The sequence below is a fragment of the Homo sapiens genome, chromosome 11, assembly GCF_000001405.40.
Source record: "Homo sapiens chromosome 11, GRCh38.p14 Primary Assembly".
NCBI lineage: Eukaryota > Metazoa > Chordata > Mammalia > Primates > Hominidae > Homo > Homo sapiens.
The window spans coordinates 67,853,345-67,881,272 of record NC_000011.10 but is presented as its reverse complement, the minus strand read 5'-3'; the positions used below and the strand labels follow the sequence as shown (position 1 = coordinate 67,881,272).

General features: G+C 45.8%; 1 protein-coding gene and 1 pseudogene across 1 annotated transcript in view, besides 3 other annotated features; both read left to right on the top strand.

Annotated features, from left to right (window-relative positions):
• LOC112268076 (translation initiation factor IF-2-like) overlaps nucleotides 1–27,928 on the top strand; it is a 154,152-nt gene that overhangs the window by 84,888 nt on the left and 41,336 nt on the right. The gene's annotated exons all lie outside the window — the stretch shown is intronic.
• Nucleotides 7,492–7,991: an enhancer, noted in NCBI's record as "H3K4me1 hESC enhancer chr11:67640753-67641252 (GRCh37/hg19 assembly coordinates)". NCBI's record gives its function as "activates a minimal SCP1, AML or CMV promoter by ChIP-STARR-seq in primed H9 embryonic stem cells {active_cell/tissue: H9 hESC(primed)}" and the evidence as "EXISTENCE:reporter gene assay evidence [ECO:0000049][PMID:30033119]".
• Nucleotides 7,902–27,928, top strand: part of ENPP7P7 (ectonucleotide pyrophosphatase/phosphodiesterase 7 pseudogene 7) — a 60,830-nt pseudogene continuing 40,803 nt past the window's right edge.
• Nucleotides 7,992–8,493: an enhancer, noted in NCBI's record as "H3K4me1 hESC enhancer chr11:67640251-67640752 (GRCh37/hg19 assembly coordinates)". NCBI's record gives its function as "activates a minimal SCP1, AML or CMV promoter by ChIP-STARR-seq in primed H9 embryonic stem cells {active_cell/tissue: H9 hESC(primed)}" and the evidence as "EXISTENCE:reporter gene assay evidence [ECO:0000049][PMID:30033119]".
• Nucleotides 24,000–24,672: an enhancer, noted in NCBI's record as "NANOG-H3K27ac hESC enhancer chr11:67624072-67624744 (GRCh37/hg19 assembly coordinates)". NCBI's record gives its function as "activates a minimal SCP1, AML or CMV promoter by ChIP-STARR-seq in primed H9 embryonic stem cells {active_cell/tissue: H9 hESC(primed)}" and the evidence as "EXISTENCE:reporter gene assay evidence [ECO:0000049][PMID:30033119]".

Sequence of the window (27,928 nt, the reverse complement as noted above, 5' to 3'; positions counted from 1 at the left end):
TGGGAGGCCACTCTGATCCTGCCAACCTTGAGGCCAGATGAGTCTTTGAAAAACATGGTTTGGCTTAACACCAGCACTTTGTCTAACACCCACCATGAATCTTGCTGAAGTGAAGCTACACAAATACCTTTTCAAAAGATTGTTTTTCATCCCAGATCCTTCTTAGAAATTCCTAAGGCTCAATGCTGTGTGGACGATTCTGAGAAAAAAAATAGTTTCCGATCTTTGGGATTTCCGAGATGGTCCAATCTGCAAAAAGTTCATTGCCGTTTCCATCAAGGACACTGAGAACAAGAGTCTTATCTGGATTGGATCCTGGGAATTGAGAAGCTTCAGCAGGTGGGAAATGCACCCTCCACAGGCTCACACCCTTGTGGGCTGTTTCAGTTACCTATTGCACCTAAAATTAGAAACTTTAAACCACCACAAGCCATTATTGCTCATGACCCTGTGAGTTGCGTGGGGACTTCCTGGCTGGTTTAACCTGGGCTCATTTGTGTGGCTACCTGCAGCTGGAGGGCCAGCTGGGCAGAACATCCAGGACGACCTCATGCATGTGCCTGGCAGTTGGTGCTGGTTGTCAGCCGGGGAACCTTGTTTTCCTCCATGTGGCCCCTCGCCCTCCAGAGCCCCTCTCCAAATGGCCCTTTAAGCAGGATAGCCAAGGTTTTCTTGGTGCCAGCATGCATGAGGGCAAAAATATGGAAACTACGAGAGGGCTCTCAAGGCCTAAGACTATTTGCACCCCAAAAATCTGAGGTCTCAGTTAATTCAGAAAGTTTGTTTTGCCAAGGTTGAGGACGCATGCCTGTGACACAGCCTCAGGAGGTCCTGACAACATGTGCTTAAGGTGGTAGGGACACAGCTTGGTTTGATACATTTTAGAGAGACATGAGACATCAATCAATATGTGTAAGTTGTACATTGGTTCAGTCTGGAAAGGCGGGACAACTCCAGGTGAAGGTGAGACAAGGGGAAGGGGCTTCCAGGTCATAGGTAAAGAGACAAATGGTTGCATTCTTTTGAGTTCCTGATTAGCCTCTCCAAATGAGGCAATCAGATATACATTTATCTCAGTGAGCAAAGGGGTGACTGAATAGAATGGGAGGCAGGTTTCCCCTAAACAGTTCCCAGCTTGACTTTTCTCTTTAGCTTAGTAACTTTTTTTTGGGTGGGGGGACAGAGTCTCGCTCTGTTGCCCAGGCTGGAGTGCAGTGGTGCGATCTCGGCTCACTGCAACCTCCAACTCCAGGGTTCAAGCAATTTCCCTGCCTCAGCCTCCCAAGTAGCTGGGATTACAGGCGCCTGCCACCACGCCTGGCTAATTTTCATATTTTTTAGTAGAGACGGGGTTTTGTCATGTTGGCCAGGCTGGTCTTGAACTCCTAACCTCAGGTGATCTGCCTGCATCAGCTTCCCAAAGTGCTGGGATTACAGGCGTGAGCCACCGAGCCCAGCCTAGCTTAGTGATCTTGGGGCCCCAAGGTTTATTTTCCTTTCACGGCTAGAAGTTGGTCACCATCACTTTGGCAGCATTTCACTGGACAAAGCAAGTCATAGGCAGCCCAGATTCATGTAGAGGAGTATAAACTCTACCTCTTAAAGGAAAGATTGGTTCAATTATACTGCACGAGCATTTGCAGAAAGTTGTACCCATTTTTGGAAACTACCACACACACACACACACACGCACGCACGCACACACCTTTACATGCAACCCTCCCTTGAGGTGCATCTACTTCCAGGCAGAACCAAAACTTGACAGTACTCGACAGAAGAAAAGTAGTGTCCTAAATGCCAGTTCTCTTCTTACTCAACTTCAGCCTCATTATAAGCAGATTCTAACAGTTTATGTGTCTTGAGAAACATTTTAATTAATCTTTGGAATTTAAGAATTTGAATTCATAGCAGTAGCCTGTGCATAGGAAATACACATATTGTAAGTTTTTCCTTTCTGATAAATCATGCTGGGGGAACCACAATGTAACTTTTTTTTTTTTTGAGAAGGAGTCTCACTCTGTTGCCCAGGCTGGAGGGCAGTGGCATGATCTCAGCTCACTGCAAACTCCACCTCCCTGGTTCAAGCGATTCTCCTGCCTCAGCCTCCTGAGTAGCTGTGATTACAGGCGCACAAGACGGGGTTTCACCATGTTGGTCAGGTTGGTCTCGAACTCCTGACCTCTGATCTGCCCACCTCAGCCTCTCAAATTGCTGGGATTACAGGCGTGAGCCACCGGCTCACGTATACTGTGACTGTATATTGAAAGTTTCTCTTTTTTTCAAATAATTAACAGGTTTAACAGAATGTATCTCCTGATCTATTCCTTTCACTGCAGACATCTATTGCCTTTTCAGCCTAGCAGCCCTCCCCTCTGTAGAGACTCACACTTCCTACTCCAGTCATGTGGCTCCCATGGGGGCTGCCATGTTCTCAAATGACTCCACCCCTCTGGCCTCAGTTGATTGGTCCAGGGATGAGCATCTGGCCTAAATTGGCCAATCAGAATTCTTCCCTTGAATATTTTTCCAAACTGGAACTAGACCTAGTTAATCATTCTCTGTGATGACAGGAATTGTGTGTAGTGAGAAATACAGAAGCTTTTGTGGCCACGTTTCTCGCCTTATGGAGAAAAGGCTTGAGTAAGAAGAAATTAAGCCAGGATGCAGACAAAGCTAGAGACAGAGACAGAGAGAGAGATCTTGTGGTAAGCCCCTTGGTTTTTATCATTCTAGTACATGCTTGCTACTGCATACTACCAAGACTTTCACATGAGGGCTTTCTCAAAGTCAGGCATGGAGTATGTCAGAAAAGCCACAGAAGCCGGGCGCAGTGGCTCACTCCTGTAATCCCAACACTGGGAGGCTGAGGCAGGTGGATCACGAGGTCAGGAGTTCGAGAGCAGCCTGACCAACATGGCAAAACCCCTTCTCTACAAAAAATAAAAATTTAGCGGGGCATGGTGGCAGGTGCCTGTAATCCCAGCTACTCAGGAAGCCGAGGCAAGAGAATCATTTGAACGTGGGAGGCAGATGTTGCAGTGAGCCGAGATCATGCCATTGCAGTCCAGCCTGGGTGACAGAGCAAGACTGTGTCTCAAAAAAAAAAAAAAAGAAAGAAAAAAGAAAAGCCAGAGAGTTGATGCCCTGGGACCAGTCCTCAGCCAGTGACGGATGGGAGCCAGGCTATAAATGCTTCAATATCTTTGCCCCCTGGATGGAACAACTTTGAAATATATTCCACATCACCTCCCAGAGGTCCCCAGTGGGGTCAAATCCTAGTTGCCTGGAGTGGTAAGCTGCTCATTGAAGCCCCCTGTGTGGCCTCCTGCCTTTCCATGAATCAATTCCTCACTCCCCTATTGGTGTTCCCTGGAATCATCTCCTAAATAATCCACTTGCAATCCTGTCCCTCTTTCAGGATCTGCTTGGGGTTGGGGTTGGGGAGTGCAGAGAAAAACATAATCCCTTTTCCACTCCACACTAGTAAGATGAGTTTCTGTCACTGGCAACAAAGAGTTCTGACTATTACCTCCTTCTGAGATAATTCCTAAAATGTATTTGGGAATTTCCCCACCTCCACCCCACTGCCTATGTCATCAATATGTAGATTTCTTAACAAAGTTTAATGGTATTCTTTGATCAACCTCAAGTTTCACGAAACACACTGCACTTTCATAAGGGCTCCCCATGGCTGACAGATCAGCCGCTCAAAAGAAGGGAAGTGTCAGAGATGGCTCTGCTAGACTCACGTATTTTTCAGTAGAATCTGGGTCAGGATGTTGTGGTCAGGAGATGCTTCTGGAGCTCTGGGACCCACAAGCCTGCATGTCATGGTGGAGTATTAGGACAACTTGAAAACATAGTGGCAAGAGGAGGCTTCCTCTCTCCCCTGCAGTTCATCCTCCACCACACCCAAAGTGCTAAATAGATATTGGTTAAATGGATAATGGGGCCGGGCATGGTGGCTCACGCCTGTAATCCCAGCACTTTGGGAGGCTGAGGCAGGTGGATCACCTGAGGTCAGGAGTTCAAGACCAGCCTGGCCATAGAGGCAGGAGAAGCACTTGAACCTGGGAGGCAGAGTTTACAGCACGCTGAGATGGCACCACTGCACTGCAGCCTGGGTGACAGAGCAAGACTCAAAAAAAAAAAAAAAAATGGATTTATTCCTTCCAAATTGCAACTCACCAAAAGACCAACACGCATCATGTGGTGGCCATAATCACCACAGTGACAATAATAAATATAATCAACTGTCAAGCCAGCCACCTCCACTAAACCTAGTGGATCACATCTAGTGTTTCACTTTGGGGATATTTTAGTGGTCATGGTAGATTGTCGCCTGACTGCTGGCTGTTTCTACCATGTTTCAGGAATATACAGATGTGTACAGATGACCCCTAAAATTAATAATTATGCAATTCTCAAAGAGCCAAACTGTACCCCAAAAACTACTGGAATGAAAAAAAAAAGTTTTAATTCTCAAAGAGACAAACTAGATAGTAGAAGCATTTATGTTCCCTTGGAGAATCTTCCCACCAAGGACTCAAAGTTGTCTCCAGACCAGGAAATGCCTGGGGCCTTGGACTTTCCCAATTCTGGTATCACCTCCCATTCTCCTTTAGGTCCAGTTTTCTCAGAGGGGCATGCATTGTTCATTGCCACCAAGGGTATCCAAGGACAGAAACTGAAGATAATAGTGCCTTATTGTCTCTCAGTCATCTTTCTCTCCCACATGCTGGAAGGAGAGCCAAGTCCAATTTATCCAATTACTAAATAGCAACATTGGCATCATGAGATCAGCTAACACAACTTTCAGAGGCAATCTATCTCCCTACCAAAAGTAACCAACATCTGTGGAGCACTTACCATGACTAAGGGTCAACATAAGTGGTTTGCATGCTGCATGCATCAGGATGGACTAGGTTATGCTGCAGTAACAAATTAACCCCAGAGTCTCAGCAGCTTAGCAACCAAGGTTGATTTCTTACATTCCATGTCCACAATGGGTTGGCTGGGTATGGTGTGCTCCATATGGCCACTCAAAGACCTAGAATGATGGAAATTCTACCATCTTAATGCAAGGATTCTCCCATAGTTACTGCACCAGGAGATGAGAGAATGAGATAGTTATTCCCAAGCCCTCAAAAGCTGTAGACTAGAGGTGATGTCAGTGACTTCCACTTATAGAGCATTGGACCCTGGCATGGATCCATCTAACTACAGGGGGTCTGGGGAATACGGGGAGCAGATGGAAATCCCATGAGCAGTAACCATTCCTGCCAGAATGCATTATTTCATCTGAACCTCACAACCCTATGGAATACATAACAGAGGCTTGGAGAGTTATGGGACCTGCCCCAAGGCATCATAGATAACGAGTTGCAGAGCTGAGATATGGCCCTCGGCCTTGCAGGATTCAAACCACTATGCTGCATACTCATCACAAAATTCTACGAAATTCCTCAGACAGCAAAACACGCTAAGTGAAAAGAAAGCCAAGTTGTGCAAATACAAAATAGAACTCACCTGACACTTCGCCTCCTCACCCACCCCACCCCCACCGAAAGAATCAACCTACGCAAATAACTGGAATGAAATTCTCAGGCAATTTCAGCAGGGGAAATGAGATTATCTCATCTGGGTCTCACATCCGACCTCGTCAAGACAAGACCTTCCCTAAACTTCACCTGAACACCTGGACACACCGTCATGTCTTGCCGCTTCTTGTTACTGGAAATCCAATGATGATGTCTTTATACAATTTATAGGTCTTTCTATAAGTGCCAAGATATATGTCATCTCTGTACCTGCATATCATTCAGAGGTAGGCAAGCTTCTATGTAAAGTGCTAGACAGTAAATATTATAAACTTTGCAGGACTCATCTGATCTCCATCCTATATATTTTTTTTGTTTTTGTTTTACAATTTTTTTTTTCTTTTTAGATAGGGTCTAAAAAGAAAATAAAACTTATCCATGTTGTGATATGGATGAATGTTAAAAACATGCTGAGTGAAAGAAGCAGACATGAAAGGTCATATATTGTAGAATTCCATTTATATGCAATGTTCAGACTAAGCCAATTGACAGAGATAGAAAGTAGATGAGAGGTTTCCAAGGGCTGCAGGAGGGGGTATGCAGAGTGACTGCTGAATGGATATGAGGCTTCCAATTGAGGTGTTGAAAAAGCCCTGAAACTAGGTAGTGGTGATAATTGCACAACATGATAAATGTACAAAATATCACTGAATTGTACACTTTCAGATACACAAAATGGTAAATGTTGCATATATTATACCACAATTTTATTCATTTATTTTAGAGATAGAGTTTCACTCCATCACCCAGGCTGCAGTGCAATGGCAAAATCATAGCTCACTGCTGCCTTTACCGCCTGGGCTCAAGCAATCCTCCCACCTAGTCTTCCAAGTAGCTGGGACTACAGGTGAACCCTACCACACCCAGCTTTTTAAATTTTTTTAGAGTTGCATTCTCGCTATATTGCCCAGACTGGCCCAAATTCCTGGCTTCAAGTGATTCTCTCATCTCAGCCTCCCAAAGTGCTGGGATAACAGGTGTAAGCCATCAGGCCAGGCAATTTTTAATTCTTATGCAAAATTTTCAACTAATTCCTAGGATTAAAAAAAATGTCGATCAACATGGGGATTAGAGGAAAGAATAATTTTAAACAAGAGAAAAAATTAGATGATGTATATGTATACAGTGCCTGGCCTCATGATCACTGAGTCCACTGCAGCTTTTTATTTTTTTTTCCATACAGGGTCTCACTCTGTCACCCAGGCTGAGTACAGTGGCATAATCGTGGCTTACTGCAGCCTCAACCTCCTGGGCACAAGTGATCCTCCCACCTCAGCCTCTCAAGTAGCTGGGACTACAGATGCACGCAACCACAGCTAGCTATTTTTGTTGTTGTTGTTGTATTTTTGGTAGTGACAGGGTCTCACCATGTTGCCCAGGCTGGCATCTTGAACTCCTGGGCTCAAGCGATCCTCCCACCTCAGCTTCCCAAAGTGCTGGGATTACAGGTGTGAGCCCCCATGCCCATCCTGTTGTAGCTATTTTAATAGTGCTGGTGAACAATAATTTGCTCTCCCTATAAAAACAGAACATACTAAGCCAAGGAAAGCACCAATCTAGTTTGTTCTCCCCAGATCTTCAAAATGTTGGAATTAGTATAAGTGTCCAAAATATTTCATGTGGTTTGATTTTTTTTTTTTTTTTTTGGAGATGCAGTCTCTTTCCATCGTCCAGGTTGGAATGCAGTGGCACAATCTCGGCTCACTGCAACCTCCGCCTCCCGGGTTCAAGCAATTCTCCTGCCTCAGCCTCCCGAGTAGCTGGGATTACAGACATGTACCGCCACGCCTGGCTAATTTTTGCATTTTTAGTAGAGGTGGGGTTTCTCCATGTTGGCCAGGCTGGTCTTGAACTCCTGACCTCAAATGATCTACCCGCCTTGGCCTCCCAAAGTGCTGGGATTACAGGTGTAAGCCACCATGCCCGGCCAGTTTGATTTTTTATTGTGGTAAAATACATACAAAATCTATTATTTTAGCCATTTTCAAAGGAAAAATTCAATGGTGTTAAGTGCATCCACCATGTTGTACGGCCATGTCCTCCATCCATCTCCAGAACGCTTTCATACTGTCCTGCAAATATGTAGCACCTTGCTACACTCCAGGTTGTTTATCCCACAACAGAGCTGGGCTGCATTATTAATGTGGACTTTGTTCAACAACGGACTAAAGAGGGCGAAGCCCATGAACTCTGTGAGGAGTGCATGACAGGTGCTCGTGGGATGACATGGTTCGGTGCCCTCCAGCTGCTGCTGCCATCGCCTGTCCTGCTGGGCGGCCACCCCCTCCCAGGGAAGAAGAGCACTCACAACTGCTGCTGATCTCCTTCCAGGGCTTCCGCTGGGACTAGGATCAGGATGTGGACACCCCCAACATGGACCATCTGGCCGGGGAGGGCGTCAAGGCCAAGTACCTCATGCCGCCCCTTGTCACAATGACCTCCCCGTTCCACTTCACTGCCATGCCAGGTAAGCGTCACTCTGCCTGTTTCACCCGATACCCATCAAAGCCCCAGCGTCTGTCATTCCCTGTGATAAGAAGCAAAAACTCTTTCAGCTCTAGGGAGGCTGAGGTGGCTCCGGGGTCTCACTCTGTTGCCCAGGCTGTAGCTCAGTGGCATAATCACAGCTCAGTGGAGCCTCAAACTCCTGGTGTCAAGCAGTCCTGCCTAGCTCAGGCTCGCCAGTAGCTGGGGATACAGACAAGCTACCATGCCTAATTTTCTCATTTTCTTAGAAATTGGGGCAGGGGGTGTCTCACTATGTTGCCTGGGCTGGTTTTGAACTCCTGGCCTCAAGTGATCATCCCACCTCACCCTCTCAAAGTGCTGAGATTGGAGACATGAGCTACCGTGACTGGCCTGATCTTTTTTAAAAAAGTAAATAAGGCCAAGCATGGTGACTCACCCCTGTAATCCCAGCACTTTGGGTGGCTGAGGCAGGTGGATCACCTGAGGTCAGGAGTTCAAGACCAGCTTGGCCAACATGGTGAAACATCATCTATCCTAAAAATACAAAAATAAGCTGGGCGTGGTGGCAGATGCCTACAATGACAGCTACTCGGGAGTCTGATACAGGAGAATCACTTGAACCCAGGAGGTGGAAGTTGAAGTGAGCTGAGATCATGACATTGCACTCCAGTTTGGGCAACAGAGCAAGATTTTGTCTCAAAAAAAATAAAAGTAATAAAAATAAAAAGGTAAATAACTAAAATCACTTTTAAATAATTGTATAAAAATAATAAAACATTGACATTTACAGAGCTCAGTTAGATGAGGTGACTCATACCTTCCAATGGTGTCCTGGTTCTCTTACATAAGAATTCAAATGTCTTTCTGTGGCCCAAAAGATTCCACACAGCCTGGCCCCTGGCCCATCTTCTGCCAGCCTCTCTCATCTCTCTCCCTCTCCTTCACTTCCTTCTGGATCACAAAGGCCTTTTGCCTGTGCCTTCTGCCCTGCTCCATCCAGCCCCAGGGCCTTGGCCTGTGCTAGTCCAGTCCCTCCAGCTCACCAGGAGCATGCAGTCCAGTTGGGGAGACAGACACCAGACACCCAAACAGGCACATACATCCTGTGACAATTCAGGAGGCATCAAGGAGGAAAAGGAGTTTTCCAGGCACAGACTACAGGGGTAAACTGGCTTCAAACTAGAGAGGGAGAAAGGGGGTCTCTGAGCATGGGGCAGTTGAGCTGAAAGAGATCTCAGGGGACCAGAGCAAGGAAAAGTGTTCCAGGCAGAGGGAAGAGCATGTGTGAGGTCTCTGAGACAAAGACCTGGTCATATCAGAATCCCAGTGGCCACTAAAATAGAGGGATTCCAACCTAAAAAGGAGGAAGAGGAGGCTGCTGGAAAGCAAAGGACTCTGTGTAAGAATCATAATAGTGGGGGTGGAGCCAAGATGGCCGAATAGGAACAGCTCCAGTCTACAACTCCTGGCATGAGCGATGCAGAAGACAGGTGATTTCTGCATTTCCAACTGAGGTACTGGGTTCATCTCACTGGGGAATGTCAGAAAGTGGGTGCAGGACACTTGGTGCAGTGCACTGAGCATGAGCCCAAGCAGGGCGAGGCATTGCCTCACCAGGGAAGTGCAAGGGGTCAGAGAATTCCCTTCCCTAGTTAAAGAAATGGGTGACAGATGTCACCTGGAAAATCGGGTCACTCCCACCCTAATACTGCACTTTTCCAATGGTCTTAGCAAACGGCACACCAGGAGATTATATCCTGCGCCTGCCTTGGAGGGTCCTAAACCCATGGAGCCTCACTCATTGCTAGCACAGCAGTCTGAGATCAAACTGCAAGGTGGCAGCAAGACTGGGGGAGGGGCGTCCGCCATTGCCTAGGCTTCAGTAGGTAAACAAAGCAGCTGGGAAGCTCCAACTGGGTGGAGCCCACCACAGCTCAAGGAGGCCTGCCTGCCTCTGTAGACTCCACCTCTGGGGGCAGGGCATTGGCAAACAAAAGGCAGCAGAATCCTCTGCAGACTTAAATATCCCTGTCTGACAGCTTTGAAGAGAGTAGTGGTTCTCCCAGCATGCAGCTGGAGATCTGAGAATGGACAGACTGCCTCCTCAAGTGGGTCCCTGATCCCAGAGTTGCCTAACTGGAGGCACCCCCCCGTAGGGGCAGACTGACACCTCACATGGCCGGGTACTCCTCTGAGACAAAACTTCCAGAGGAACAATCAGGCAGCAACATTTGCTGCTCACCAATATCCACTGTTCTGCAGCCTCCACTGCTGACACCCAGGCAAACTCCAACAGACCTGCAGCTGAGGGTCCTGATTCTTAGAAGGAAAACTAACAAACAGAAAAGGCATCCACACTAAAACCCCATCTGTACGTCACCATTATCAAAGACCAAAGGTAGATAAAACCAGAAAGATGGGGAAAAAAACAGAGCAGAAAAACTAGAAACTCTAAAAATCAGAGTGCCTCTCCTCCAAAGGAATGCAGCTCCTCACCAGCAATGGAACAAAGCTGGACAGAAAATGACTTTGACGAGTTGAGAGAAGAAGGCTTCAGACGATTAAATTACTCTGAGCTAAAGGAGGAAGTTCGAACCCATGGCAAAGAAGTTAAAACCTTGAAAAAAAATTAGACGAATGGCTAACTAGAATAACCAATGCAGAGAAGTCCTTAAAGGACCTGATGGAGCTGAAAACCAAGGCACGAGAACTACGTGACAAATGCACAAGCCTCAGTAGCCGATTCGATCAACTGGAAGAAAGGGTATCAGTGATGGAAGATGAAATCAATGAAATGAAGCAAGAAGAGAAGTTTAGAGAAAAAGGAATAAAAAGAAATGAACAAAGCCTCCAAGAAATATGGGACTATGTGAAAAGACCAAATCTATGTCTAATTGGTGTACCTCAAAGTGACAGAGAGAATGGAACCAAGTTGGAAAACACTCTGCAGGATATTATGCAGGAGAACTTCCCCAATCTAGCAAGGCAGGCCAACATTCAAATTCAGGAAATACAGAGAACACCACAAAGATACTCCTCAAGAAGAGCAACTCCAAGACACATAATTGTCAGATTCACCAAAGTTAAAATGAAGGAAAAAATGTTAAGGGCAGCCAGAGAGAAAGTTCAGGTTACCCACAAAGGGAAGCCCATCAGACTAACAGCTGATCTCTTGGCAGAAACTCTACAAGCCAGAAGAGAGTGGGGGCCAATATTCAACATTCTTAAAGAAAAAAATTGTCAACTCAGAATTTCAAATCCAGCCAAACTAAGCTTCATAAGTGAAGGAGAAATAAAATACTTTACAGACAAGCAAATGCTGAGAGATTTTGTCACCACCAGGCGTGCCCTACAAGAGCTCCTGAAGGAAGCACTAAACATGGAAAGGAACAATCAGTACCAGCCACTGCAAGAACATGCCAAATTGTAAAGACCATAAAGGCTAGGAAGAAACTGCATCAACTAATGTGCAAAATAACCAGCTAACATAATGACAGGATCAAATTCACACATAACTATATGAACCTTAAATGTCAATGGGCTAAATTCTCTGATTAAAAGACAGACTGGCAAATTGGATAAAGAGTCAAGACCCATCAGTGTGCTGTATTCAGGAAACCCACCTCATGTGCAGAGACACACATAGGCTCAAAATAAAGGGATGGAGGAAGATCTACCAAGCAAATGGAAAACAAAAAAAAAGGCAGGTGTTGCAATCCTAGTCTCTGATAAAACAGACTTTAAACCAACAAAGATCAAAAGAGACAAAGAAGGCCATTACATAATGGTAAAGGGATCAATTCAACAAGAAGATCTAACTATACTAAATATATATGCACCCAATACAGGAGCACCCAGATTCAAAAAGCAAGTCCTTAGAGACCTACAAAGAGACTTAGACTCCCACACAATAATAATGGGAGACTTTAACACCCCACTGTCAACATTAGACAGATCAACAAGACAGAAAGTTAACAAGGATATTCAGCAATTGAACTCAGCTCTGCACCAAGCGGACCTAATAGACATCTACAGAACTCTCCACCCCAAATCAACAGAATATACATTCTTCTCAGCACCACAACACACTTATTCCAAAATTGACCACATATTTGGAAGTGAAGCACTCTTCAGCAAATGTAAAACAACAGAAATTATAACAAACTGTCTCTCAGACCACAGTGCAATCAAACTAGAACTCAGGATTAAGAAACTCACTCAAAACTTTACTCAACTACATGAAAACTGAACAACCTGCTCCTGAATGACTACTGGGTACATGTGGGGAAAAGCAAGAGAGATCAGATTGTCACTGTGTCTGTGTAGAAAGAAGTAGACATAGGAGACTCCATTTTGTTATGTACTAAGAAAAATTCTTCTGCCTTGAGATTCTGTGACCTTACCCCCAACCCCGTGCTCTCTGAAACATGTGCTGTGTCAACTCAGAGTTAAATGGATTAAGGGCGGTGCAAGATGTGCTTTGTTAAACAGATGCTTGAAGGCAGCATGCTCGTTAAGAGTCATCACCACTCCCTAATCTCAAGTACCCAGGGACACAAAAACTGCGGAAGGCCGCAGGGACCTCTGCCTAGGAAAGCCAGGTATTGTCCAAGGTTTCTCCCCATGTGATAGTCTGAAATATGGCCTCGTGGGAAGGGAAAGACCTGACCGTCCCCCAGCCCGACACCCGTAAAGGGTCTGTGCTGAGGAGGATTAGTATAAGAGGAAGGCATGCCTCTTGCAGTTGAGACAAGAGGAAGGCATCTGTCTCCTGCCCGTCCCTGGGCAATGGAATGTCTCGGTATAAAACCCGATTGTATGCTCCATCTACTGAGATAGGGAAAAACCGCCTTAGGGCTGGAGGTGGGACCTGCGGGCAGCAATACTGCTTTGTAAAGCATTGAGATGTTTATGTGTATGCATATCTAAAAGCACAGCACTTAATCCTTTACATTGTCTATGATGCAAAGACCTTTGTTCACGTGTTTGTCTGCTGACCCTCTCCCCACAATTGTCTTGTGACCCTGACACATCCCCCTCTTCGAGAAACACCCACAGATGATCAATAAATACTAAGGGAACTCAGAGGCTGGCGGGATCCTCCATATGCTGAACGCTGGTTCCCCGGGTCCCCTTATTTCTTTCTCTATACTTTGTCTCTGTGTCTTTTTCTTTCCTAAGTCTCTCGTTCCACCTTACGAGAAACACCCACAGGTGTGGAGGGGCAACCCACCCCTACAGGTACATAATGAAATGAAGGCAGAAATAAAGGTGTTCTTTGAAACCAACGAGAACAAACACACAACATACCAGAATCTCTCGGACACATTCAAAGCAGTGTGTAGAGGGAAATTTATAGCACTAAATGCCCACAAGAGAAAACAGGAAAGATCTAAATTTGATACCCTAACATCACAATTAAAAGAACTAGAGAAGCAAAGAGCAAACACATTCAAAAGCTAGCAGAAGGCAAGAAATAACTAAGATCAGAGCAGAACTGAAGGAAATAGAGACACAAAAATCCCTTCAAAAAATCCATGAATCCAGGAGCTGGTTTTTTGAAAAGATCAACAAAATTGATAGACCACTAGCAAGACTAATAAAGAAGAAAAGAGAGAAGAATCAAATAGACACAATAAAAATTGATAAAGGGGATATCACCACCAAACCCAGAAAAATACAAACTACCATCAGAGAATAGTATAAACACCTCTATGCAAATAAACTAGAAAATCTAGAAGAAATGGATAAATTCCTCGACACGTACACCCTCCCAAGGCTAAACCAGGAAGACGTTGAATCTCTGAATAGACCAATAACAGGCTCTGAAATTGAGGCAATAATTAATAGCTTACCAACCAAAAAAAGTCCAGGACCAGACGGATTCACAGCCGAATTCTACCAGAGGTACAAGGAGGAGCTGGTACCATTCCTTCTGAAACTATTCCAAATAATAGAAAAAGAGGGAATCCTACCTAACTCATTTTATGAGGCCAGCATCATCTTGATACCAAAGCCCGGCAGAGACACAACCAAAAAATAGAATTTTAGACAAATATCCTTGATGAACATCGATGCAAAAATCCTCTATAAAATACTGGCAAACTGAATCCAGCAGCACATCAAAAACTTATCCACCATGATCAAGTGGGCTTCCTCCCTGGAATGCAAGATTGGTTCAACATATTCAAATCAGTAAACATAATCCAGCATATAAACAGAACCAATGACAAAAACCATACGATTATCTCATTAGATGCAGAAAAGGCCTGTGACAAAATTCAACAACCTTCATGTTAAAATCTCTCAATAAATTAAGTATTGATGGGACGTATCTCAAAATAATAAGAGCTATGTATGACAAACCCACAGCCAATATCATACTGAATGGGCAAAAACTGGAAGCATTCCCTTTGAAAACTGGCACAAGACAGGGATGCCCTCTCTCACCACTCCTATTCAACATAGTGTTGGAAGTTCTGGCCAGGGCAATCAGGCAGGAGAAGGAAATAAAGGGTATTCAATTAAGAAAAGAGGAAGTCAAATTGTCTCTGTTTGCAGATGACATGATTGTATATCTAGAAAACCCCATTGTCTCAGCCCAAAATCTCCTTAAGCTGATAGGCAACTTCAGCAAAGTCTCAGGATACAAAATCAATGTGCAAAAATCACAAGCATTCTTATACACCAATACAGACAGAGAGGCAAATCATGAGTGAACTCCCATTCACAATTGCTTCAAAGAGAATAAAATACCTAGGAATCCAACTTACAAGGGATGTGAAGGACCTCTTCAAGGAGAACTATAAACCACTGCTCAATGAAATAAAAGAGGATACAAACAAATGGAAGAACATTCCATGCTCATGGGTAGGAAGAATCAATATCGTGAAAATGGCCATACTGCCCAAGGTAATTTATAGATTCAATGCCATCCCCATCAAGTTACAAATGACTTTCTTCACAGAATTGGAAAAAACTGCTTTAAAGTTCATATGGAACCAAAAAAGAGCCCACATTTCCAAGTCAGTCCTAAGCCAAAAGAACAAAGCTAGCGGCATCACGCTACCTGACTTCAAACTATACTGCAAGGCTACAGTAATCAAAATATCATGGTACTGGTACAATAACAGAGATATAGACCAATGGAACAGAACAGAGCCCTCAGAAATAATGCCACATATCTACAACCATCTGATCTTTGACAAACCTGAGAAAAACAAGCAATGGGGAAAGGATTCCATATTTAATAAATGGTGCTGGGAAAACTGGCTAGCCGTATGTAGAAAGCTGAAACTGGATCCCTTCCTTACACCTTATACAAAAATTAATCCAAGATGGATTAAAGACTTAAATGTTAGACCTAAAACCATAAAAACCCTAGAAGAAAACCTCAGCAATACCATTCAGGACATAGGCATGGGCAAGGACTTCAAGTCTAAAACACCAAAAGCAATGGCAAGAAAAGCCAAAATTAACAAATGGGATCTAATTAAACTCAAGAGCTTCTGCACAGCAAAAGAAACTACCATCAGAGTGAACAGACAACCTACAGAATGGGAGAAAATTTTTGCAATCTACTCATCTGCCAAAGGGCTAATATCAAGAATCTACAATGAGCTCCAATAAATTTACAAGAAAAAACCAAACAATCCCATCAAAAAGTGGGCAAAGGATATGAACAGACACTTCTAAAAAGAAGACATTTATGCAGCCAAGAGACACGTGAAAAAAATGCTCATCATCCCTGGCCAGAGAAATGCAAGTCAAAACAACAATGAGATACCATCTCACACCAGTTAGAATGGCGATCATTAACAAATCAGGAAAAAACAGGTGCTGGAGAGGATGTGGAGAAATAGGAACATTTTTACACTGTTGGTGGGACTGTAAACTAGTTCAACCATTGTGGAATTCAGTGTGGCAATTCCTCAGGGATCTAGAACTAGAAATACCATTTGACCCAGCCATCCCATTACTGGCTATATACCCAAAGGATTATAAATCATGCTGCTATAAAGACACATGTACACGTATGTTTATAATGGCACTATTCACAATAGCAAAGGCTTGGAACCAAGCCAAATGTCCAACAACGATAGGCTGGATTAAGAAAATGTGGCACATATACACCATGGAATACTATGCAACCATAAAAAATGATGAGTTTACGTCCTTTGTAGGGACATGGATGAAGCTGGAAACCATCATTCTCAGTAAACTATTGCAAGAACAAAAAACCAAACACCGCATGTTCTCACTCATAGGTAGGAATTAAACAATGAGAACACATGGACACAGGAAGGGGAACATCATACACTGGGGTCTGTTGTGGGGTTGGGGGAGGGGGGAGGAATAGCATTAAGAGATATACCTAATGTTAAATGACGAGTTAATGGGTACAGCACACCAACATGGCACATGTATACATATGTAACAAACCTGCACGTTGTGAACATGTACCCTAAAACTTAAAGTATAATAAAAAATAAAAAATAAAATAAAAACCTTGGCTGTTGACTCCAAATATCCTGCTTCATCATCTCTCCACTCCAGAAACTTTTCACATTCTTACAAAGGGTGTTCGTTTCTCCTCTAAGTATTTGCTCGCCAGCCCCACCTGCAAGAAGGTGGAAGTAGGGCCTCTGCCTGGGATGGTAACTCTCAAATGTAAGGCAAGACCTGTCTCTCCACCAATATCCCCAGGACTGAAGGACTGTGAAAGTCTGCATATTGATCAAGCTTCTCCCTCCCTTATCTGAAGGGACTTACTTCCTTCAAGACACTTTTCCTCTTCCCACCTAGCTCCATGCCCCCATCCAGTCATCTTCCAACCCATCTCTCCCCACCTGCATGCCACACAAGAGGGGCGTGACCACAGCACCTGGAAGTTCCTTAAAGTTGAATGGTGTGTCAGGCCGGGTGCGGTGGCTCATGTCAGTAACCCCAGCACTTTGGGAGGCTGAGGCAGGCAGGTCACTTGAGGTCAGGAGTTCGAGACCAGCCTGGCCAAAATGGTGAAACTCCATCTCTACTAAAAATATAAAAATTAGCTGGGTGTGGTTGTGCTTGCCTGTAGTCCCAGCTACTTGGGGGGCTGAGGCAAGGGAATCACTTGAACCTGGGAGGCAGAGGTTACAGTGAGCCAAGATTGCACCATTGCACTCCAGCCTGGGTGATAGGGTAGACTCTGTCTCAAAAAAAAAAAAAAAAAAGAAAGAAATCGAATGGTGTGATTAGCTTATGATTTTTTAAAAATGGAATGATGTATTCATTTTCTAAGCTGCATAACAAATCAACACAAATTTAGCAGCTTAAAACATCCATCTATTACCTCTCCTTTCCTGTGGGTCATGAGTCTGGGGGTGCAGCTTTAGCTGGGTCCTCTGCTCAGGTTCTTACAAGGTTGTGATCAAGGTGCCGGCTGGAATTAGTGTGTCATATGAGGCTTGGGGTCTTCTCCCAACCTCACATGGTTGTTGGCAGAATTTATTTCCATGCAACTGTGAAACTCATGTGGCTGGCTTCTTCAAAACCAGCCAGGCATGGTGGCTCACGCCTGTAATCCCAGCACTTTCGGAGGCCGAGGCAGGGGATCACCTGATGTCAGGAGTTCGAGACCAGCCTGGCCAATATGGTGAAACCCCGTCTCTACATAACTTAGCCGGGCATGATGGCGCACACCTGTAATCCCAGCTACTTGGGAGGCTGAGGCAGTAGAATCACTTGAACCCAGGAGGCAGAGGTTGCAGTAAGCCGAGATCGTGCCACTGCACTCCAGCCTGGGCAACAGAGTGAGACTCCATGTCAAAAACAAACAAACAAACAAAAAACAAAAACCAGGAGGAAGGAGTCTCTCTCTTCCAGACCTTCATTGAAGATCTCACCTGAAGATGTCAGGCCCACCCTGAATAATCTCCCTTTTGATTAACTCAAAGTGAATGGATTAGGGGCTTAGTTACATCTGCAAAATCCCTTCAACTTTTCCATAGATATAGATTAGAAGCAAGCCACGGGTCCTGCCTACACTCCAGGGGAGAGGAGATTACACCTGGCATTTATCCAGGGCAAGAACCTAAGGGGTCATCTCAGAATTCTGTCCTCCAAATAGATCCTCGGTGGAGCTTACATGCCTGGGCGAGCACCAGCCTTTGTTTAAAGGCAACAGAGAATGGTGTCCTGGCTCAGATCTCCAGCAAGCCTCCACAATGATGGTCCAGTATCTGAAGCCATGGCCAAGGCAGCAGGAGCTTTGGGTGCACATGGGGGCTTCCCCCACTTTGAAGTGAGTCATCACATCTGTATTAGACCCTAGCTGTTGCTTAGGCAAAAATGATGATTTAGAAGAAGATGGAGAGAAGAGGAAAGTTAATTTAAAAGTACTTATATTCGGCCGGGTGTCGTGGCTCATGCCTGTAATCCCAGCACTTTGGGAGGCTGAGGCAGGCGGATCATGAGGTCAGGAGATGGAGACCATCCTGGCTAACACGGTGAAATCTTGTCTCTATTAAAAATACAAAAAATTAGCTGGGCGTGGTGGCGGGCGCCTGTAGTCCCAGCTACTCAGGAGGCTGAGGCAGGAGAATGGCGTGAACCCAAGAGGTGGAGCCTGCAGTGAGCTGAGATCTCGCCACTGCACTCCAGCCTGGGTAACAGAGCGAGACTCCATCTCAAAAAAAGAAAAAAAAAAAGAGAAAGTGCTTATATTCATTCCCTAGGGCTGCCACAACCAAGTACCAAAAGCTGGGTGACTTGAAACCAGAGAAATTGATTGTCTTGTGGCTCTGGTAGCCAGCAGTCTGAAACGGAGGTGCCAGCAGGGCCACGCTCCCTCCTGCACTTGTCGGGGAGTCCTGCCTTGCCTCTTCGTAGCTTCCTGTGGTCTCCTGGCAGTCTTCAGTGTTTCTTGGTTTGCATACGCATCAGTCCAATCTTCCGTCCAATCCATGGCCTTCTTCCCTGTGTCTCTGTGACTCGGCGTGTCCTCTCCTCTTTTATAAGGACACCAGTCATTGACTTAGGCCCTCCTTACTCCAGGATGACTTCATCCTAATCAATAGCATCTGCAATAACCCTATTTCTTTCTTTTCTTTCTTTCTGTCTTTCTTTCTTTTTTTTGAGACGGAGTTTCACTCTTGTTGCCCAGGCTGGAGTGCAATAGCGCGATCTCAGCTCAATGCAACCTCCGTCTCCTGAGTTCAAGCAATTCTCCTGCCTCAGCCTCCCGAGTAGCTGGAATTACAGGTATGTGCCACCACACCCAGGTAATTTTGAATTTTTAGTAGAGAAGGGGTTTCTCCATGTTGGTCAGGCTGGTCTCAAACTCCTGACCTCAGGTGATCCGCCCGCCTTGGCCTCCCAAAGTGCTGGGATTGCAGGCATGAGCCACCACGCCTGGCCTGCAATAACTCTATTTCTAAATAAGGTCACATTCTGAGCTGTTAGAATTTAGGATTTCAACATGTTTTGAGGAGAACTCAATTTAACCCATAACAATACTATGTGGGCCACACATGCTGCTTCACATCTGTTATCCCAGCACTTTGGGAGGTTGAAGCAGGAGGATCATTGCTCAGGGCATAGGGGGACACCAGGTGCATAAAACCACAGCGTTGACTGGTGTGGGGGCTCACACCTGTATGTTTGGGAAGCTAAGGCAGGGCGATCACTTGAGCCCAGGAGTTTGAGGCCAGCCTGGGTGACATAGTGAGATCTCACTTCTAAAAAAAAAAAAAAATTTAATTAGCTGGGCATGTTGGTACCCACCTACAGTCCCAGCTACTCAGGAGGCTGAAGCAGGAGGGTCGCTTGAGTCCAGAAGATCAAGGCTGTGGCGAGCTGTGATTGCACCACTGCACTCCAGCCTGGGCAACAGAGCAAGCCCTGTCTCAAAAAAAAAAAAAAAAAAAAAAAAATCATCTCCCTTGTCTTCTGATTCCCTGAGCTGTCATAGAAAGGAAGTGAAGCAGTGAAAGCATCCCCCCAAAAGGGACTTTTCAAAACCAGCCTAAGCAACATAGCAAGACCTTGCCTTTAGAAAGTATTTAAATTTGAAGGAAAAAAAAAAAAAAGCAGTATTATGGCACAGAGTTGACAGCTACAGGTGTGGCTACATCCAGGTCCTAAAACTATATCATCAGAATGACCCCTGACCCTCCCCCCGCTTTCCATTTTACTTTCTTAAGCATGAACATGAAATTTCCAAGACTGTTTCTCCTTTGGCTAATCTGCTTCTCAGACCCAATCACTGTGGCCAGGGTGGTGGAAGGATACTGACATCCAGGCTGGGACCACATGCCCCAGCTCCAGATCAAGGTGGGGAATGGCCAGTCGCACACATGTCGTGGGGAACTAGTGACTCCTCGGTGGAAAATCGGGGACTGTCATTGGAGAGGAGCGATAGAAGAAAGGCTGAAGCAGTGCAATGTATCTCCTGCACCAGCCTGGGCCTCGATGTCTTGAGTACTGATGACCCAGTACTCAGTCTAGGGCAATCCCAACTCCATCTGCGGGGCTGCCCACAGTACATGGACCCCCTCACTGGATTTGCTGACCACACGTGCAAATAGCCACTTCCCAGCCCCACTCCCCGCAGTCCCCCTGAACCCTGTCAAAATTCCCCTCAGTTCTCGCCAAGATTAAAAGCAACTCTGAGGGTGAGCGGCTCATTCTGCTAGTTTAAATCTCTCGGTTCCTTCCCTCTCCAGAACTCTGTACTTACTGCTCCGTCACTGGTAATGACAATGAACATCTTCACAATCTCAGGTTTTATTGCAAAGTGATTGAGGACCAGTTAGAATAAGTTATGCTACAGAAACTAAAGAAATTCCGTCAAACAAATGGTATGTAATAGAAAGTCTTAGGGCAGCCGTGTATATTTTCTCCCCCCAGTGAATCAATTGAAAATGAGAAGTTGTTACCGCCATGTTCCAGGCAGAAGCTATCAAAAGTATAAGCCATGATATTATAATTTGATGATTTTTCATCCGTCAAATGGATATGGCCCAGGGGTGAAAAGTGGATGCTCCGTAACTAGATGATGGTCAAGAGTTATAAAAATGAGGTCCTCTCTGTTCAACATTTCTCCTTTCTTGAAAGGGTACTCAATGTCATGCTCAGGGCCTCTAATGGCCAGAAATAAAGTTCCTCCCAGTTCCAGAGCACCTCAGGGCAACCCCAAAACCAGAGCAACTGCTTATTGCCATGTAGACTATGTACTGTGCAATTTCTGGGGTGGCATTTTCATAAATATGTGGGTGGCGCCCCCTGGAGGTATGCAATGCACAACTTGCACAAATGGTAAGTCATCGTATCCCAAGGTCCACAAAGAAGAGGTAAACAAAATTCCCATCGATGTTGCCATCAGTCATGAGTCTGCCTTTTCTTCATGGGACAGTAGCAAAAACAATTTGGCCAAGTGTGCTTGGATGATCTCTAAGATGGAATCAGGGTCTCTCACTTTCAGCACTATTGACCTTTGGGGCTGGATCATTATTTTGTCTTAGTGGGAGTTGTCCGCGGAATTGTAGGATGTTTAGCAGCATCACTGGCCTCTACCCATTAGCTGCCAGTAGCACCACCTCCTCCAGCTGCAACAACCAAAATTGTCTCCAGACATGGCCACATGTTCTCTGGGGGGCAAAATCACCCCCTGGTTGAGAAACCCTGAAGTAAAGACATAATACGCAGATCACATGTAAGTAAGAGAGCCTAAGGGCCACACAGGTGATGCTGTACCCATGACAAAGACAGAGTCTTAAAGAGGTTAGAGAGGTGGAGAAAGAGAAAAGAAATGAAGTCCCAGCTGCTGAGAGCAACAGATGCTGACTAGATGTTGTTGATAGTCATCTTTAAACTGAGTTAAAAGATGCTGAGGAGCCATCAGCTCCCATCCTGCTCTCCAGGGTCAACACTGCTGAAAAAGGCCTGGAGAGCAACAAAACCCCAAACACAGGTGCACTGAGCAAAGAAACCAGAGATTGAGACAAAAAAGACATTCCCTCAAAGACTACTCATTTTCAAGAGGGGAGAAAAAGTGGAGTCATGAAAAACAGTTGAGGCTGGGTAGAGTGACTCGCACCTGTAATCCCAGCACTTTGGGATTACTCCCAGGCTGAGATGGGAAAATTGCTTGAACTCAGGAGTTCAAGACCAGCCTGGGCAAAACAGCAAGACCTTGCCTCTAGAAAAAGGGAAAAAATTAGCCAGGTGTGGTGATACATGCCTGTGGTCTCAGCTACTCGGGAGGCTGAGGTGGGAGGATCGCTTGAACCCAGGAGGTAGAGGCTGCAGTGAGCAGGGATCGCACCACTGCACTCCAGCCTGGGCTACAGATCCTGTCTCAAAAAAGAAAAAAATTAAACAAAATTAAGGCCGGGCAAGATGGCTCATTCCTGTAATCCCAGCACTTTGGGAGGCCAAGGTGGGCAGATCACGAGGTGAGGAGATGGAGACCATCCTGGCTAACACGGTGAAACCCCATCTCTACTAAAAATACAAACAATTAGCCGGACATGGTGCTGGGTGCCTATAGTCCCAGCTACTCTGGAGGCTGAGGCAGAAGAATGGAGTGACCTCGGGAGGTGGAGCTTGCAGTGAGCCAAGATCACACCACTACCCTCCAGCCTGGGCAAAAGGGCAAGACCCCATCTCAAAAAAAATAGAAAATTAAAATTTTTTTTGAGACCAAGTCTCACTCTGTCACCCAGGCTGGAGTGAAATGGTGCGATCTTGGCTCACTGCAACCTCCGCCTCCTGGGTTCAAGTGATTCTCATGTCTCAACCTTGTGCCTCAACATGACTACAGGCATGTTGTCACCATGCCTAATTTTTGCATTTTTAGTAGAGATGGGGTTTCACCATGTTGTCCAGGATGGTCTTGAACTCCTAGGTTCAAGCAGTCTACCCACCTCAGCCTCCCAAAATGCTGAGATTACAGGCATGAGCCACCGTGCCCAACCTCTAACGTTTCATTATGGAAATTTCCCATATACACAAAAAGCAGGGAGAGAATTATACCATGAACCCCCATGCATCCATCATCCCACTGGAAGAACTTGTCAACATTTCTCCAATCTCATTCCAGTTCCCACTTTTCTTTTCCTTCTTGCTATTTTAGGACATTTTAAAGCAAATTCCAGACATTTCATTTCACCCATATCCATAACACACCAGGGTGCATTCTTGATGTAAGGATTTTGTTTTGTTTTATAACACCCATGACATTGCCACAGTTAATAGATTTAACATGAAGAAACTAAGATTCTTGCAGGTGGAGAAAAGATCTAATTACCACCTTAAAGCCTCTCCTACTAGCGCTTCTCAGATCTGGACGTGTATGCAAATCACCTGGGCATCTTGTTAAAATGCAGATTCTGGCCCAGGAGGTCCTTCCGGGTGAGCCCTGAGAGTCTTCAATTCCAAAAGCTCCCTGGTAATGCAATGCTAAGGGTCCACGAATCACACAAGAGGAAGGGTCGGCCAAACACGCACAACAACTGGGTGCAAAGTCCTGACTGTTCCTGACTGCAGGGTCTTCAGTGAACGGGGAAGCTGGGGACCATTTGGGAAAGAAGGGAGGTTTTTCGTATCAGCTCCAGGCCTTGTAGAACTGCCAGGGAATAACAGACACAAGGTCAGCAAAGTCTAACCAACAGCATGAGTGCATTCATATTCCACAACCACTGCAGCAAAGAACCATGAAATGGGTGGCTTCAAACAATGTCTGGGCTGGGTGCTGTGGCTCACACCTAAATAATCTCAGCACTTTGGGAGGCCGAGGTGGGTGGATGACTTGAGGTCAGGAATTCGAGACCAGCCTGGCCAATATGGCAAAACCTCGTCTCTACTAAAAATGCAAAAATTAGCCATGCATGGTGGCAGGCACCTGTAGTCCCCACTTCTTGGGAGGCTGAAGCAAGAGAATGGCTTGAGCCCAGGAGGTGGAGGTTGCAGTGAACCGAGATCATGCCACTGCACTCCAGACTGGGCAACAAAGCAAGCCTCTGTCTAAAAAAAAAAAAAAAAAAAAAAATTGTCTGGAGGCCAGAAGTCCAAAATCAATCAAAGGTTAGCAGGAGCATGCTCCTTTCAGAGGTTCTAGGGGAGAATCCATTCCTTGCATCTTCCAGCTTATAGAGGCTACTAGAATTCCTCAACTTGTGGCTGCATGATCCAATCTCTGCCTCTGTGATCACCTTGCCTCCTCCTCTTCTGTCTGGGTCTCCTCCTGTGGAGGAAGAGTGTCAGGCCTCTGAGCCCAAGCTAAGCCATCATATCCCCTGTGACCTTCATGTACACATCCAGATGGCCGGTTCCTGCCTTAACTGATGACATTATCTTGTGAAATTCCTTCTCCTTGCTCATCCTGGCTCAAAAGCTCCCCTACTGAGCACCTTGTGACCCCCACTCCTGCCTGCCAGAGAACAACCCCCCTTTTTCCTTTACCTACCCAAATCCTATAAAATGGCCCCACCCCATCTCCCTTCACTGACTCTCTTTTTGGACTCAGCCCACCTGAACCCAGGTGAAATAAACAGCTTTATTGCTCACACAAAGCCTGTTTGGTGGTCTCTTCACATGGATGCATGTGAAATTTGGTGCTGTGACTCGGATTGGGGGACCTCCCTTGGGAGATCAATCCCCTGTCCTCCTGCTCTTTGCTCTGTGAGAAAGATCCACCTACGACCTCAGGTCCTCAGACTGACCAGCCCAAGAAACATCTCACCAATTTCAAATCTGGGAAGCAGCTTCTTTTTACTCTCTTCTCCAACTTCCCTCACTATCCTTCAACCTCTTTCTCCTTTCAATCTTGGCACCACACTTCAATTTCTCCCTTCTCTTAATTTCAATTCCTTTCATTTTCCGGTAGAGACCAAGGAGACACGTTTTATCTGTGGACCCAAAACTCCGGTGCCGGTCGCGGACTAGGGAAGGCAGCCTTCCCTTGGTGTTTAATCATTGCAGGGACGCCTCTCTGATTATTCACCCAGGTTTCAGAGGTGTCATACCACGCAGGGACACCTGCCTTGGTCCTTCACCCTTAGCAGCAAGTCCTGCTTTTCTGGGGGAGGCACAGGAAACCCACCCTCTTATCTCTGCACCCCGATCCCTTATTTCCATGCCCCGCCCTCTTATCTCTGTGCCCTGATCCCTTATTTCCACAACCTGACCTCCTATCTCTGCACCCCAACCCTTTATTTCTGTGCCCCAACCCATTTCCTGCTTTTCTGGAAGGCAAGACCACCCCACCCCTTCTCTTTGTGTCTCTACTCTCTCTTTTCTCTAGGCTTGCCTCCTTCACTATGGGCAAGCTTCCACTCTCCATTCCCCTTTCTTCTCCATTAGCCTGTGTTCTTCAAAACCTAAAACCTCTTCAACTCACACCTGACCTAAAACCTAAATGCCTTATTTTCTTCTACAATGCCGCTTGACCCCAATACAAACTCAACAGTGGTTCCAAATAGCCAGAAAATGGCACTTTCAATTTTTCCATCCTACAAGATCTAGATAATTCTTGTCATAAATGGGCAAATGGTCTGAGGCGCCTCACGTCCAGGCATTCTTTTACACATCGGTCCCTCCCTAGTCTCTGTTCCCAAAGCAACTCATCCCAAATCTTCTTTCTTTCCCTCCCACCTCTCCCCTCAGTCCCAACCCCAAGTGTCTCTGAGTCTTTCTAATCTTCCTTTTCTACAGACCCATCTGACCTCTCCCCTTCTTGCCAGGCTGAGCTAGGTCCCAATTCTTCCTCAGCCTCTGCTCCTCCACCCTATAATCCTTTTATCACCTCCTCTCCTTACACTGGGTCTGGCTTACAGTTTCATTCCATGACTAGCCCTCCCCAACCTGCCCAGCAATTTACTCTTAAAAAGGTGGCTGGAGCTAAAGGCATAGTCAAGGTTAATGCTCCTTTTTCTTTATCCCAAATCAGATAAGGTTTAGGCTCTTTTGCATCAAATATAAAAATCCGCCCCAGTTCATGGCTCGTTTGGCAGCAACCCTGAGACGCTTTACAGCCCTAGACCCTAAAAGGTCAAAAGGCCGTCTTATTCTCAATATACATTTTATTACCCAATCTGCTCCCGACATTAAATAAAATTCCAAAAATTAAATTCCGGCCCTCAAACCCCATAACAGGACTTAATTAACCTCGCCTTCAAGGTGTACAATAATAGAGTACAGGCAGCCAAGTAGCAACATATTTCTCAGTTGCAATTCCTTGCCTCCACTGTGAGACAAACCCCAGCCACATCTCCAGCACACAAGAGCTTCCAAACGCCTAAAGCGCAGTGGCCAGGCGTTCCTCCAGAATCGCCTCTCCCAGGAGCTTGCTACAAGTGCCAGAAATCTGACCACCAGGCCAAGGAATGCCTGCAGCCCGGGATTCCTCCTAAGCCATGTCCCATCTGTGCGGGACCCCACTAGAAATCGGACTGTTCAGCTCACCTGGCAGCCACTCCCAGAGCCCCTGGAACTCCAGCCCAAGGCTCTCTGACTGACTCCTTCCCAGATCTTCTTGGCTTAGCAGCTGCAGACCGACACTGCCCAATCGATCGCCTCGGAAGCCTACAGGACCATCACAGACGCTCTAGGTTACTCTCACAGTGGAGTGTAAGTCCATCCCCTTCTTAATCAATACAGAGGCTACCCACTCCACATTACCTTCTTTTCAAGGGCCTCTTTCCCTTGCCTCCATAACTGTTGTGGGTATTGACAGCCAGTCTTCTAAACCTCTTAAAGCTCCCCAACTCTGGTGCCAACTTAGACAATACTCTTTTAAGCACTCCTTTTTAGTTATCCCCACCTGCCCAGTTCCCTTATTAGGCCGAGACACTTCAACTAAATTATCTGCTTCCCTGACTATTCCCGGACTACAGATACATCTCATTGCCACCCACCTTAACCCAGAAGTAGAAGATACCTCTACTCCCTCCTTGGCGACCTATCATGCACCCCTTACCATCTCAGTAAAACCTAATCATCCTTACCCCGCTCAATGCCAATATCTCATCCCACAGCATGCTTTGAAAGGATTAAAGCCTGTTACCACTCACCTGCTACAGCATGGCCTTTTAAAGCCTATAAACTCTCCTTACAATTCCCCCATCTTACCTGTCCTAAAACCAGACAAGCCTTACAAGTTAGTTCAGGATCTATGACTTATCAATCAAATTGTTTTGCCTATCCACCCCAAGGTGCCAAACACATATACTCTCATATCCTCAATTCCTCCCTCCACAACCCATTATTCTGTTCTGGATCTCAAACATGCTTTCTTTACTATTCCTTTACACCCTTCATCCCAGCCACTCTTCGCTTTCACTTGGACTGACCCTGACACCCATCAGGCTCAGCAAATTACCTGGGCTGTACTGCTGCAAAGCTTCACAGACAGCCCCCATTACTTCAGTCAAGCCCAAATTTCTTCCTTATCTGTTACCTATCTCCGCATAATTCTCATAAAAACACACGTGCTCTCCCTGCCGATCGTGTGTGACTAATCTCTCAAACCCCAACCCCTTCTACAAAACAACAACTCCTTTCCTTCCTGGGCATGGTTGGATACTTTCATCTTTAGATATCTGGTTTTGCCATCCTAACAAAACCATTATATAAACTCACAAAAGGAAACCTAGCTGACCCCATAGATCCTAAATCCTTTCCTCACTCCTCTTTCTGTTCCTTGAAGACAGCTTTAAAGACTGCCCCCATCCTAGTCTTGGTTCCCTGACCGGGAAGCGAGGTAATTGACAGAATGTCGAGGCAGCCCGTTAGGTGGCTTAGGCCTGCCCTGTGGAGCATCCCTGCAGGGGACTCTGGCCAGCTTGAGCGACGCGGATCCTGAGAGCTCTCCCGGG